Source organism: Homo sapiens, chromosome 8 (assembly GCF_000001405.40).
Source record: "Homo sapiens chromosome 8, GRCh38.p14 Primary Assembly".
NCBI lineage: Eukaryota > Metazoa > Chordata > Mammalia > Primates > Hominidae > Homo > Homo sapiens.
Genome location: NC_000008.11, coordinates 82,622,842 through 82,638,213, shown reverse-complemented (window position 1 = coordinate 82,638,213; position 15,372 = coordinate 82,622,842). Strand labels below are relative to the sequence as shown.

Here is a 15,372-nt window from a genome sequence, read left to right as displayed (position 1 = left end):
ATCACAGCATGTTCCCCAAGTACTTGCTTCCATTGTTATCTTTGCATGGTACCTAAGTGTATTTATGGGAGAAGTGTGTGTATTTACTAAAGAAGATGTTTCAGTTGTTTACTTTTACCATTACATACATAAGGTCCCATGGCTAGTTAATTTATAGCTTCATGATCACATACTATGCTAAACGTGTAGATGGTAGCTCTCCAAATATTATCAGCTCTTTTATAAATATATGATTAAAAAAGATATCTCTGGCCATTTATAATTTGAGAAACAAAAACAACTACAAAATTATTTATATTTTTAAGCTGTGCAATGTAATTTTTTATTGGAGTACCTACAACTGATTTATAAATGTGCTGCTTAATATGTGGATGAAAAACTCTGTAAAAAAGAGAGCTGGAAAACAAGAGTAAATTAAGGAACATTTCACACAGCAAGAATGTAATACATTTATATAGAAAAAATTAATGAATTACTGAATTAGTGCATTAATGAATGAATTTGTTCTTGCCTGCATGATGGATGAATGAGTAAAACACTGAATTAAAATCACAGAAGTTGTGGTTAAATTGGAGTTTCATTTTTGTTCTCCAACTGAGTAACTTAAGTTTGGAAAAGATAGATATATGTAAACATATATGTATTAATATACATTTTACATGTTATAAAGTATATATTTTTATAAATATAGTTATATATATAACATATAACTATATATTATATAGTTTATATAACATAGTTTATATCTTTATGTTAGATGCTGGATAAGGATGAAATTCATCACACTGAAAGAAGAAAGAGCATATATTTTTTGTCCACAGGTTTGCTGACTTGATCAAAGAGGACTTAAAGTGAAATTGTAGGAATCAAACCAGATATCCAGATAAAAATTTAAATATTGATAGTATGAAGAACATTGCACTATTCATTCAGCACCAAACATGACAGTAACAAAATTAACATGATAGTTTAACATAAGAATTCCAAGATGTGGTAATAAAGTTCTCATGGCTGTATTACTTTATGTGAAAAAAGAGATCTTATTCACACTACTAGGTAAAGTAGAATTTTTTTTATATTAAGAAGATATAATACACCTGTCTAGAATTCTATTATTCTGGGAATGAAAATACTTTATGGGCTATTCTGATGGAGAAAGCTGAAAGGGAAATGAGCAATATAGTTGTATGATACTATTAAACTGGTTGAGCAATACAAGGACATTTATAATACAGTCTGAGTACAGATCGAAACTCTAATAATACAGAAAAATATCAAATATGGGAACTGCAAATTTCAGGTAATTCTAGAATTTTTACAGGAGCATTATATCTAATAAATTGCTCATATCAGAGATAAATAAAACTATTTGTATCAACTTATGGAAATTGGAAATGAAAGAATTCTGAAAATTTTGGAATAACCATAATTAAAGAGTTCAGTAATACTGAATACACAATAGGCCTAGAGGAAAAGAAAACAAAACTGTTGACCAAAAGCCTGTAGCATGTTGGGTTACTTTCCTCAATATACATTAAATGTCTGGGAGATTTTGCAATTTATTAAAAGTTTCACATAGCTTTAGGTCATCCTGGGAGGCATAATTAGTCAGTTTCTTAATGTGATCAGGCCACAAAAATCTACCAGGAAGCCAGAAATGTTATAGTAATCTCTTCCCATTAATACTTAAAAAATTATTCTAATCAAATTTTTACAGAAATTTTGATCTAGAAGTGTATGTCACTTCTGAGAATATATATTAAAGACAATATTTAGAAATGCAGGCTCCAGGAAACAAGCAAGAGTCACTTGAGTTTTAAAATAAAGGACCTTAAATGCTTATACAGGCAGACTATGGAATAGGTGAGATATCAAACAAAGGATGCTGAAACAAACCGTGGTTTAACAGCTAGAAGGGATTGCCAATGCTTGTTTGGAAGAGCAGAAGGAGACATTAACAGAGCCCCAAGTCAAGGATAATCTAACAGAATATGAACCCAGGGAGGAAAGAGTTGTTGCCACTCCCTCTTATTTGCCTGCTTTCTACCCTCTCCTTTCTATCCTCTGCTGCCATCCAAACTCTCACTAGTATAGCTCATTGGCCAGACACAGCCAGAAGCCAGCCTGGAGCCAAGTAGATGCAGCGACAGGAGTTAGCTCCTCTGTATTTTGAAAGAGGAAAGCAGAGGAGGAATGTAGATGTACCCCAGTTTTCACAGGCCCCAAACCATATACAAGCATTGTGAACTTGGACACATTGTGAAACTACTCTGAACTTTGGAGGCTATATCACTTTTCTTTTGAGAGTAAGAGTGTATGTGTATATATATATATATATATATATATATATATATATATATATACACACATACATACACACACACATATACACACACACTTTAATATACATTATATATAATATATAATAAATTGAAAACCTAAGATTATGTACAAATTAGAGTTGTGACAAAATTAAATCAGTAATCCATGGAAAGGAACTCAAGGCAGCCTTTTTTTTTTCCAGACAGAGTCTCCCTCTGTCACCCAGGCTGGAGTGCAGTGGCAAGATCTCGGTTCACTGCAACCTCCGCCTCCCAGGTTCAAGTGATTCTTCTGCCTCAGCCACCCCAGTCGCTGGGACTACAGGCATGCGCCACCACGCCCGACTAATTTTGGTATTTTTAGTAAAGACGGGGTTTCACCATATTGCTTAGGCTGGTGTCCAACCCCTGCCTTCGTGATCCGCCCACCTCGGCCTCCCAAAGTGTTGGGATTACAGGCGTGAGCCAGCGTGCCAGGCCAAGGCAGCCTTTTTTAAGATAAATATTTTACCAATATGATTCAAATATTATAAGCTAGTCTTTTTTGGCAAAAGAGCAACAACAGAGCACAAACCTTGACTTACCCTGTGATCAAACTACATGAGATAAATATGCCTACCTAGAGAAATTAGTATAATGGAACCTAGCAAAATGTTAGACACAACTTTCTCTGTGTGCTAAGAGTATAAGTTTATTTTAGGTGTTTTATTTTTGTATTTTCCAAATTTTAGCTTTATATGGAAAATGAAACAAAAAAGTTAAATTATAAAGGATGGAGGCAGCATGCTGTGGAAAGTGGAAGCATACAGAACCTGAATTTAAGGATAGACCCATGTGCTTATGGCTAACTATAAAATCTTTGCCAAATAAATTGACATCTTTTAATAAATTAAAGCATCTCAGTCACACTTTTATCATGCATAAATTATAGTTAATAATATCTAAGTTATAGCATATTTGTTGGGATTAGTGAATTTAAAAAACCAACATGAATAACATAAAGGATTACATTAGTGCCTACTATAAGATAGCAGACTGAAAACTGTTCACAAAAATCCATTTCTTCTTCTCATATCAAACTTCTGGATTGTATTTCCCAACCGTCTACTGAAATTAGGTTCAAGAATGTGAATTAATTAGTTTTTACTGCAAAACAAACAATGCCCAAACTGTGGTTTCAAATAAAAGGCATCTATTAAATTTATAATTCCTTGGATTTGCCTTTAGGTTGGGCTCAGCTGGGCAATTTTGGTCTCAGCTTAGCTCTATTAAATGTCTTCAATCAGCAGATGGCTACGTGAGGGGCAAACCACTTAAAAGCCTCAGCTCAGAAGAAACACACATCAATTATAGTTGTATCTTGTTATATGGAACTCTTCAATAGAACTTGCTGAGATGCTAGAAAAATTCTATGATTTATTTTGTCCAGTAAAGTAGCCACTAGCCATATGTAGTCATTGATCACTTAACATAAGGTTTGTGTGACTAAATTTTAATTTTATTTACTTACAATAAACAGCCACATATGGCTTAGACCACCATATTGGACAGTGCATGCTCAGACCTTAAAGACAGAGTATACTAGAGAACAAAAAATGCTCACAGCTATTTTTGTCTCAATAATCATGGCTCCGGCAATCTGACTTTTCAGTAATTACCAATCAGTTAAAATCCACTTCCTCTCTTCTTATATTTGGGCTGTTTTTATGACCATCCTTTGGCCAAAACAACATGGCAGAAGCACTTGCCAGCTTCATACCTAGCCTCCCTCTCCTGGAATCTGCCCATCTATCAAATGAACAAAAGCTGCTAGCTTGTGCAACAATGAAAGAAAACCAGCAACAGAGTCAATGAGGTTGTACACCCACAGTCCCAGAGATGTGAGATAGCCCATTAATATCATCATAGCCATCTACACATGAAATAAAATTAAACTCTGAAATCTTAGTGTATATAAAGTACTTAATGCAGCATCAGCCTGATTGGTGTTTTTGAAATTATCACTAATACTATTAGTACTACCAGTAAGCATCATTATTTTTATTATGACCACTGCTATTACTATCACGATTACTCTTAATCTGTCTCGCTATGACCACACTACTATTACCCATGTCACTACTACTGATAATTATGAATAGGATTTAAGTAAAATATAGATATCAAAGAATATGTATGTTGAAGTAAAATAACAGCAATATTTGTCTCCTGCTTACCTAAGTTTCAACTTAAAATTTTTAGCATTTAGTCAACAGATGCTTATGTTAATAACGTTTGTCCAAGAGAACGGCAGTATAGGTGGAGGTAGTTAAGAACAATGCAGACTGGGGAATGTGATGTATCATCTCTGGATTCTGGGGAATTTATTTACATTTTCTGTGCCTCAGTTATCTCCTATATAAAAGAAAATTATAATTGTGCTTTCTTCATAAGATTGTCATAACAATTACATTTTTTTCTTGACACACATAGAGTGATTACTTCAGGTAATTAATCAAATGTTATTATTATAAACTTTAGGAAATCTGCATGAGGGCTCCATTAACGTAGGTTCTATTTTATACTCTTTGCCAAATTTGAAAAAAAATCTGTTTTTGAAATTTATTGAAACATAAATCATTTTGAAAGTTCCATTGAAAAATATTTTTTTATCTGTTTGTCTTCCATCTATCTTAACCTATCATAAAATCCAATATGAACATATATGCTGATAATCAGATATGAAAATCAAACATGGTAGTAACAGATGTGACTTTTCCAATTATGTGAAATATCTCCTTAAAAATCAGTCAATTGCTATTCTTTAGGAAACAAAAATTGATACATTAGAAAACGTAAAAGATATCCTGTGAAATGTTTATCATTACTAAAAAGAGGCATTCTTTTTCTAAAATTAGCAGATTTATTTTTGTGAACCCTTAATTTTTTTGTTTCTCCAGCATTGCATGATTTGGGGAAACTGCCCCTTCCTCACCCTTGAAATTATGGTGGGATAATCACCCATGGGAAAGCACAGTCTTCCTTCACCAAAAGCAGAGTGGTAGGATGTAATCGGCTGAATTGTTATCATAAGCTGTGCCACTTTAGCGTAAGAGGTAGTCGGATCTTGTATTAGCATCATCAGACAATTTTTATGCCAATGTACTTGGGAAAATGTGTTCAAGTTTCTGCTTCTTAAATAACTAGAGATTCTTTTGTTTCTGTTCTTCTGAAGGTCTTATTTTTCATAATCCACTGTTACCGTGAGCTATCCATGACCATTCCCATAAATACTGTTTTCTTGCTTCAGTTAGGTAGTGTTACTTTCACGAGATGTTCAAAAGAGCCACTTGAAGAAACTGTCCGATTTATGATTTCTGTTAACGAATATAAAATGAATTGGGCCAATAAAACAATCATTAATAAAATAATGTAGGTAAGAATATGTATAATGTCCATAAGACTATGTAAAAGATTCTTATATATATATCTGTGTATATATATGTATGTGTATGTATATATTTATATACATACACATATGAAACAAATTTTTCTCTTCTAAAAAAATAGTATGCCTCAGAACTACCTGCTCTAGCAGGGGAACATAGTGCTAATTTTTTAAATATTTCTTCTCAATTATTTCTGAAGCTGGGAAGTCCATACATCAACAAATAAGAAGAGAAAATGAAAGAATAATACTTAGTGTTTCAGCAGGCCTAGGAAATAAGAGAGAGAAAATGTTCTCACAGTTCCTCACAAAAATTCTATAATCTTGCCTTTATCACTCATTATATTTACTTAGTTAACAGGAAATTAATCTTCATAAATTTTGGTTCACTTCAGATTCTACCAATTTTAATATTTGGTTATTATTTACGGTGGATAACTAATGCCCTCTTACTCCCTGTTGGCAAATCTGACACCTGATGATCATCTGACTTCTTGTGTGGATCTATTTATATAGGGAATATGCTGGTTGGGGGACAAAGCATTTGGTATTATAATTCTCACTGGAATTACATATTTATGAATTAATTTAAAGTAAATTAAAGCTTTCTAATTTTTTAACAATGATAAAATAATGCTAAAAACAGTAATGCTATATGAAGTACATTAGATTGAATTACCTAAATCTATACAGAAATGGATCTCAACTGTTCTTTTTTTCCAACATAAATAAATGGTAAGACATTTGCCTAGGCATCAATAGTGTTATATCAGATAGAGTCTTGGCAATAATTATATAACACATTCAAATTAGTAATTTGAGAGTCTATTTACAAAGCTAGTTAAGGGCAACTGGATAATGATATTAGAGGACCTCAGAGATGGAAATAGCCAGAAACTCTTTTTACCTTAAACCTCAGAAGACAAGGAGACAGAGCAGTTACCAAAGCCCAAAAGGGCAGCAATTGAGGTACCAACCAAACAAGAGCTGTGGCCTTCAGGAGAGGAATGAAGCCATCTAATGTGAACTTACAGGGAGGAAGTGGTGGAATATGCACCATGACTTCATCTTCTTGCTCACTTGAACTACTGCTAGTATTTTTCACTGGTCAAACCAGTTGGAAGAAAGAAGGCAAAGGACTTGATTTATGAAATCTTTGTAAGTCAGCTTCTCAGGGTACAGAGTAGGGCGGAGAAAGGAGGGAGTTTACTAGAAAGGGAAATAGAAAATCTCTGCAACAAGCAGCTTACTGCTAAAGTGAAGGCAAAGGAAGGCAGGAATGGATAGAGCACATGCCCAGCAGAAATCTCAAGTAGCTTCATATTTTCCAGGTGACTTTGTATGTTGTGCTAGGAAGCATATTTTCTCCCTTTAGTCAATTTACATTGCTGCTTCCCCATATTTTATAAAATACATGGTTTATTTTAAATGACTTTGTTTACTAATCTTGAAATATCTTTAATTTATATAGGGAATATGCTGGTTGAGGGACAAAATTAGTTGCTGAAATAATTTCTCAACTTGTTTTGGTTGGTTTGATGTTTTTAAAATTATAACCAACATTTTTGCTTAATATAAAAATGCTTAACATTAGGTCTTTGAGATTACTAACTTTTAACATAAAAACAAATTATTTTAAAGTATGCTTATTTTAAAAGCTACTTTCTAAATCTGAAAATCAACAACAATTGATTTGGTAGTTGCCTTTTCCATATCCTCTTCTAACTTGCCAACGACAGGATACATTGTCTCTTCAAGAACAACAACAAAAAAAGGCATATAAATTTATCACAGTGGATCGTACCAAGTATTTTGAGGGAAAATTATAATCTAAGCATGTTGCTATGCCTTTTTTGTTTCTACTTACTGAAAATTTGATTATAGATAGTTAAAAAGTCCAAAGATATGCATGGAAATATGAACATACATTATGTAACTGTGAGTTTTACAATGTAATTTTGAAAGTATTGATGTGATTTGCCATAAAGAAAGAGCTTTAGTGAAAACAAAGACAAACAACTGATATATGTAAATAGGTAGCGTAGGCATTACATCAAGTGTATATCAAAGGAAAATGAAGTACAGTCTCCAAATTAGTATGAAATTAGACTCTATCCATTGAATACATGTGGTCTTGTTGACTATAAATTTTGGATTCTTAGTTACAACTGCAGGAAGTAGATTCTGGCTAATGAAAAGAAAAAGGAATTCAGGTATGTTATAATTGAAGAACCCAAGTCAGATGCAGGCCAGCCAGAGTTTTAGCCACAATGGCACCCTGAATCTGTCCCTTGAAGTCATTACTGCTATCTCTGCTGAAATCTAGGCACTGTCATGGTTGCCAACACTGTGAGCACAGGCCACTGGAGAATGTAATGCCCCTGCGGTTTGAAATTCAGATGTTGCATAACTGGTACTGCCTTTTTTCAGAGTGAATATTTCTACATTGTTCTTTGCATCACCAGCCACTACTATGGAGGATGTATTTTGTAGGCTGAGACCAGGTTATGTGCTGTGCTCCATGTACAAGAAACGATAGGAAAGTAAGTATCTGACAATTTCAACACTTGTATTTGGCAAGGGAGTTCCCTTTCCTAACAAGGATAGGAAATGTTCTCAATACAGAAAGGGTGTCAAACACTGGAAAACCAAAACGATAATAAATATAATTCCATTAGGGTGTGGGTACCTGAGAATTTTTTGAATAACCAGATTTTCAAACTTTACTTTTGTTTTATATTCTAATTAGATATCCAATATTTTATCAGTTAAATGTCTTATAATTTTATATACTGCACATAATACTGAATATTAATATATAATAATTAATATAAAATGTTATATATGTTTAAATGCACATGTATAATTTAATATAAAATATTGTTTATAATTTTATAACTTGAGTAACCTATAGTTATTTACTAATTACATACCAAATAACTGCCACAAGATGTCTGTATTTTGTCTCATTTTAATAATAATAAAAAATAAGGATTATTAAATGTGTTGTAAAAGACAGCAGTTACATGAAATTAACTTAATTTTCTCTTTTATTAAAAAAAGGAAATTAACAGTTAGTTGGAAAATTAAACCACTGAAGTTATTTAGCTATTATTTTCTCTATGAACTTTTCATGATACAAATTGCATATATTTGATTAAAATAAACAAAAAATGGAATTTCTGCACATGTATTCCAGGACTTTAAATAAAATAAAATATTTAAAAATAAAAATAATAAATTAGAAAACAAAAAGTCACTTTTTTTGAGACAGATCTCACTCTGTCACCCAGGCTGGAGTGCAGTGGTGCAATCTTGGCTAGCTGAAACCTCCACCTCCTGGGTTCAAGTAATTCTCCTGCCTCAGCCTCCCGAGTAGTTGTGATTACAGGCATGCACCACGAACCCGACTAGTTTTTTTATTTTTATTTTTGGTAGAGACGGGGTTTTACTATGTTGGCCAGGCTGGTTTCCAACTCCTGACCTCAGGTGATCCACCCACCTCAGCTTCCCAAAGTGTTGGGATAACTGGCGTGAGCCACTGCGCCCGGCCTAAAAAAACACTTTAAATCTGCACTTTATATTTATGTCAAATCTTCAGGTATAGGAAGAGGAGTGACGAAGAGGTAACCAGGTGAGAGTATATATCGCTTTGTGTATCTGTGTTTGGGTCAAAAAAAGGACTGTAATTTTATGGCATAAAATCTAATAAAGTGTATATAGTGTATAAAAGAGTAGATGGTGGTTACCTTAGTAAGAAATAGCTTTTTTATATTGAAGCATGGTGTTGAGGAAAAAATGTTTGTTCAAAAGTAGACAACATCTTAATAAACATGTATAGACCTGTGAAAGTTTGGGAACTTGTCAAATCTTATTATTCATACTTAATAAATATCAATTTTCTATAAATAGAGAGAGGAACTATGTGTGAAGCTTAATTTTGAGAAGCAAAACCTTTGGTGTGTTAAAGTAACTTGACAGCAGTAGGGTCAGTTAAACAAAATGTACCACATAAAATGACAGTTCCATAATTTTACTTAGTTAAAAAACAAAATTACTGACTTCATTGCCAAAACTAAAGATTTATTCAAGCACAGAGGTAGTGAATAAAACACCCAGAATATCTAATAAATATTAGTCCTAGACATTCATTTGACATCTTTTATCATTTCTGCTCAAAAACACACTATTCTTCCAGATTCAAAGGCAGTTATTTAGGCATTTTCATGCTCTACTACCCAATATTTAAAACTCTCTGGCAATCAAAACCATGGCTGAATTTACAGTGATTACAGAAAAAAATTGAGAAAGTTAATCTTAAATAATATAATGTGTGGGGACATATAGTGTGTCAATTGCACTGAATTGACTTGATCGTAGATATAATTCATTCATTAGTGCATTCATTATTCATTTATTTATTCAACAAACACTATTGAAAGCCTATGATGTAGCAGGAATTGTGAATAAACTTAATTAAATACTGTATCAGTTTTAAGGAACCTACAATTCATTGGAGAGAAATTATATTAGAGTAATAAATGATTTGGAAGCACAGAGGAATATTACATTTATTAGACCAGGGAGTAATTCATAATATCCATCATTAGTGAGTTATTACACTATAATATTTGCTATATTTGAGTGTATCTCTACTGTTTACACATTTTTAAAATGAAACTTCAAATCAAGTTAAATGCCTGGAAAGAGAATAATCATGATGACCAATTAGAGATGCATGATATATTTCTAATACAAATAGATATAAAGGCACAACCTAATTTTTATCTCACATAACATATATAGTTATCTGATGTCCCTGATTTTGGATAACACTAGATTTCAGGGTGAAGAAATTCATCCAGGTGAAAATTAGAATCAGTGTTTTATTGAAAATAAGAAAATAGACCTGATTAATCCACAAATTTGGAGAAAGGGATTTTAGACCAGCAAGAGCAAATTTGAGAGAAGAGTAAATGTGCAAAAGCATGTTTTGATTAGAATACTCCAAGAAGATGGATATGGCTGTTACCACTTTTTTCTGATTTTACATTCACCAAGTATGGAACTTATCTGTGAGATTCATCTGCCCATCACTTGTTCCTCACCTTCTTCTGTAAACAGAAGGCTGCTCTCTCAATGGAAAATAATTTCATGGGATTCAGGCAGGACCAACTCTACCTCTCTCTGTAGTGAGGGTAGACCAATGACAGAAGCCCTAGGAATCATATTTACAGATCTCTCTGACCACGAAGTTTCCTTCAGAGATGGTAAGATGAACCAAAGTACATCAAGCTGTATTACATGAATGTAAAATCATGGCTTAATTCTTTTGGCAACTTTCTTTCCTCTGTCTATTCAAGAATTTTGCCATCTTCAGCACAGAAATATTAACACTTTAGATGTTGCTAAATATACGTTATGATGAAAAAGAAAGAGCAAAATTATATTTCAGTTAGCATGAGGGTAAATTTATAATTCATAGATGTAAAATTTAGTGCAGTGATCACAAGGGATGGCTGACAATTAACATACAAATAAACTGATGAAAGCTGACATGGAGGCTGTCATAAAGTATATATTGTGGTGGTGGTGTGGGGGTGTGTCAGTGTGTGTATGTATGTGTGCATGTGTGTGTATGTGTGAAGTAATATAGTGTAAAGGAATAATGGATAATTCATAGTCATATTGAAAATTCCAAAGAAATTAACAAGAGTACAAAAGGTTCTATTTCACATTAAATAAAATAGTTGAAAATAATGTGAAAAACATTAATTCACCAGGAAAAGACAGGGAAGACAGACCATTATACAATAACCACAGCAAAAACAAACTGATGGTACAGATAGAAAACAAATGCCAAGATGGGAGACTTCCAACCATATTATTCCTTATCTTGTGTGAAAATTAATTAAACATTCTGATTAAAAAATAAAACTTTAAAACTGAATAAATTCAACTCTATGTTCTAATATATCATAAATATTAAAAAGCCATGACCACTTGGTCCACTTGCATTTCATTGCCCAAGTTTGTTTTGACAAGAATTAAAGAGATAACTATACTGGGGAAAGATAGCTAGAGAGAGAGACAGATATTCATTTACTATTTGACAAACTAGACTGTTTCATTAAGCAATGAAAACAAGAAAGTTTGAAATTTAGAATCATGAGATTATATGTGTATATTAATGAAAAGGTGATAAATGAAAGAAATTATAAAACAAATAGCCAATGATTAATGTACAAAGCGGTTTTTCTAAGACATTATTTATTATTTTAAAAAGTTGAAAACTAGCAAAGTATCACACACCAGAAGAATGGTAAAATAAATTATAATATTGTGCAAATATATTGTAAACCTTTATGTGGCTATTAAATCATGTATTCAAATACCATTAATACAAATAAATTATGGTTACAAAATAACATTCAAAGAACAAAGCATGATATGCTATATAACATATCTTTGTTAAAATAAGTAAAACTACTATAATTTTTAATTGAATATACAAAACACATATGGGCTTTTAATTTTCTGCATTATGTCTTTTTATGTTTCTCATGATTTTATAACAAAGTATTCATTCTATGTGTATAGTATAAAGGGTTATAAATGAAATATTTATAGTATCTCTTCCCAAACACAATTATAAAAAAATGGTTTCAGGGTATTGAGCATATAAATTCATAAAGAAACTTATGTGAAAAAGTATCTTATGATTAAGTTTTGTTTAAAAAGGCTTTTAATATACTTGGTCTGTAGGCTCTACCATGAGATTGCGTTTGAATTTGTTCCTGTTGGAAACAAGAAAATAATTTTTAGACAAATTCATCTATTTTTAAGAAAACTTTAATGTAGATAATTGAAAAGGACCTAATACTTATTGGTATTCTACTATCACTTCCAGAAGTACGTAAGACTGGTTCATGAGAAATAATAAATAAATTAACAAAAATGATCCTATTCCCCCAAGTTTTATGCTTGACTTCATTGTCTATCTTAAATTATGCCAACTTATATTGTCCAACATGGAATATACAGTGTCCAAACTGGGATATACAGTGAGTCAACTACAATCTAGTAACTCCAGGTAAAATGCCAGCTATGTAAAAAACTAGAGGTGTAAATGTCATCAACTCAATTCAATTATTCAGTTACTATTGTTTAATTTTCTAAATGAAATCTACTTCCCATGTTAAAGCCTGAAATATAAAAGTACAAATCTCTCCCTTCCTAATTTTTTCTTCTTATTATTAATTTATTAACAAGTATATAATTTGTGGGGTACAATGTGATATTTTGATGTATTTACACAATGTGGCATGACTAAATCAAGCTAATTAGCATATTCTTTATCTCAAATCCTATTTATTTATGGTGAGACATGTGAAATTTACTCTCTTATTTTGAAATGTACATTATTATATATAGATCTGAAAACCTATTCTTCCTGTGTATCTGAAACTTTACTTCCTTTCATCAGCAACTGTACATTCCTTCCCCAGCTCCTAACCCCCTGCCTTGGGTAACTATCATTATACGCTCTACTTCTGTGAGATCAACTTCTTTTTTATTCCTACATATAAGTGAGATCATGCAGTATTCGTCTTTTCAGTGCCTAGGTTATTTCACTTAGCATAATGTGAATTCATCCATATTGTTCCAAATGACAGGATCTCCTCCTTTTCAAGCCTCAGTGGTCTTCCATTGTGTATATAAACACATTTTCTTTTCCATTCATTCGTTGACAGACACTCAGCTGATTTACTATCTTGTCTTGGCTGTTATGAAAAATACTGTAATGAAAATGAGAGTGCAGACACTCTTTGACATGCTGATTTCATTTCTTCAGGCATAAACTCAGTAGCGAGATTGCTGGATCAGATAATGGTTCTATTTTCAAATTTTCGAGGAATGTCCATACTATTTTTATAACGGTTTTATACAAATTTACATTCCCACTACAATGTATGAGAGTTGCCTTTTCTCCACAATATCTCCAACACTTGTAATGTTTCGTCTTTTTGATAAAAAGCCATTATAATGGGTGTGAGGTGATATCTCATTGTGGTTTTAATTTGCATTTCCTTAATGATTATGATGCTAAGCATATTTTCATGTACCTGTTGGCCATTTGGGTGTCTTAGTTTGGCCAGTGTCTTTTCAGATCATTTGCCAATGTTTTAATAGGTATATTTGTATTCTTACTATTGAGTTGAGTTTCTTATATACTTTGGGTATTGACCCCTTATCAATCTCATCTAGACAACATAGCAAGACCTCATCTTTAAAACAAAACAAACAAAAATTTAAAAAGATTCATATTTACCTATTTCTGCTTAACTAGTTTCTACATTCTTCGAACATGAGTACATTTTCCTTATAAGTCTTTAACTTTCCCACAATGTCTATAAATGTTACATTCATAATAACACAATATATGCTTATTAAATGAAATATAAAGTTTTATGGCATTGGATTAGTTTTAAGAAATAGGTATTAGTTCTCTAGTCAGTATGAGTAGTTATTTGATTTTCATTGAAGAAAAACGTTTTTCTTCAATAAAAACAAACACTAAAGATTCAGCTACGATTGCTCAAATTCTTCTATACTGCCAGAAAAATAGCTGATAAAATTCAGCAACTGGAAAATACAAAGAATCAGAAATTCTAAGAGTTCTGGAACTCAACCCTTGCTTTAGGCAAATTTTGTATACCAAAAGACAAACAAGGAAACAGAAGGCTTATAATTTATGAAAAGTGTTCTAGGCAACTTGAAATCACAATTCTAAGTATCTACTTCTGTTCTGAGATATGTGGCCTGCATTTAGCAATCAATAGTTTCCCGAAATAAAAATGCACACTTGGCCGGGCATGGTGGCTCACGCCTGTAATCCCAGCACTTTGGGAGGCTGAGGCGGGCAGATCATGAGGCCAGAACTTTAAGGCCAGCCTGACCAACATGGTGAAACCCTGCCTCAACTAAAAATAAAAAAATTAGCCAGGCATGGTGGTGCACACCTGTGATCACAGCTACTCAGGAGGCTGAGGCAGGAGAATCGCTTGAACCCAGGAGGTGGAGGTTGCAGTGAGCCAAGACTGTGCCACTACACTCCAGCCTGGGGGACAGTGCGAGACTCCATCTCAAAAAAAAAAAAAAAGCACACTTATGACTTCGTTATTTACATTATAGTTGTTTAGACAAATGATCACAAATGCATAGGATTTACAATATATTTATGGTATATAAATTTATCTAAATAATATAAGAGAACTTTGATAAAGTGATAATTTAAACTACCCTTGATTATAAGCGAAATTGAAAGCCTAAGTAACATTTTAATTCAAGTTTCTCTTAGAGGTAAATATTTTAATGACAAAATTACCATTATGCTGTGATTTAAAGTTCTGAGTAATACTCATTTTATAAAACTTAAAACATAAGGGATACCTACTGTACTCAGTATTCTTCATACAGAAAAGAAAAATATTTGTGACTGTAAGAACACAGAACATTTTTCTTTTCCTTCCTAAAAAATAGCAATAATTTAGTATTTAAAAAAATAATTGCAGGTTTAGTAGTAAAATTATTTCATTTCTTACAGACAGTACGTTTTGTCTT

The 15,372-nt window shown here is 32.4% G+C and overlaps 1 long non-coding RNA gene across 1 annotated transcript in view; it reads right to left on the bottom strand.

Moving 5' to 3' along the window:
* Positions 1 to 5,253: 5,253 nt before the first annotated feature.
* Positions 5,254 to 15,372, bottom strand: part of LOC105375931 (uncharacterized) — a 190,238-nt gene continuing 180,119 nt past the window's right edge. The window contains exon 4 of the long non-coding RNA XR_929115.3: positions 5,254 to 5,677. This is a non-coding gene — a long non-coding RNA (uncharacterized LOC105375931). The remainder of the gene's footprint in view (positions 5,678 to 15,372) is intronic.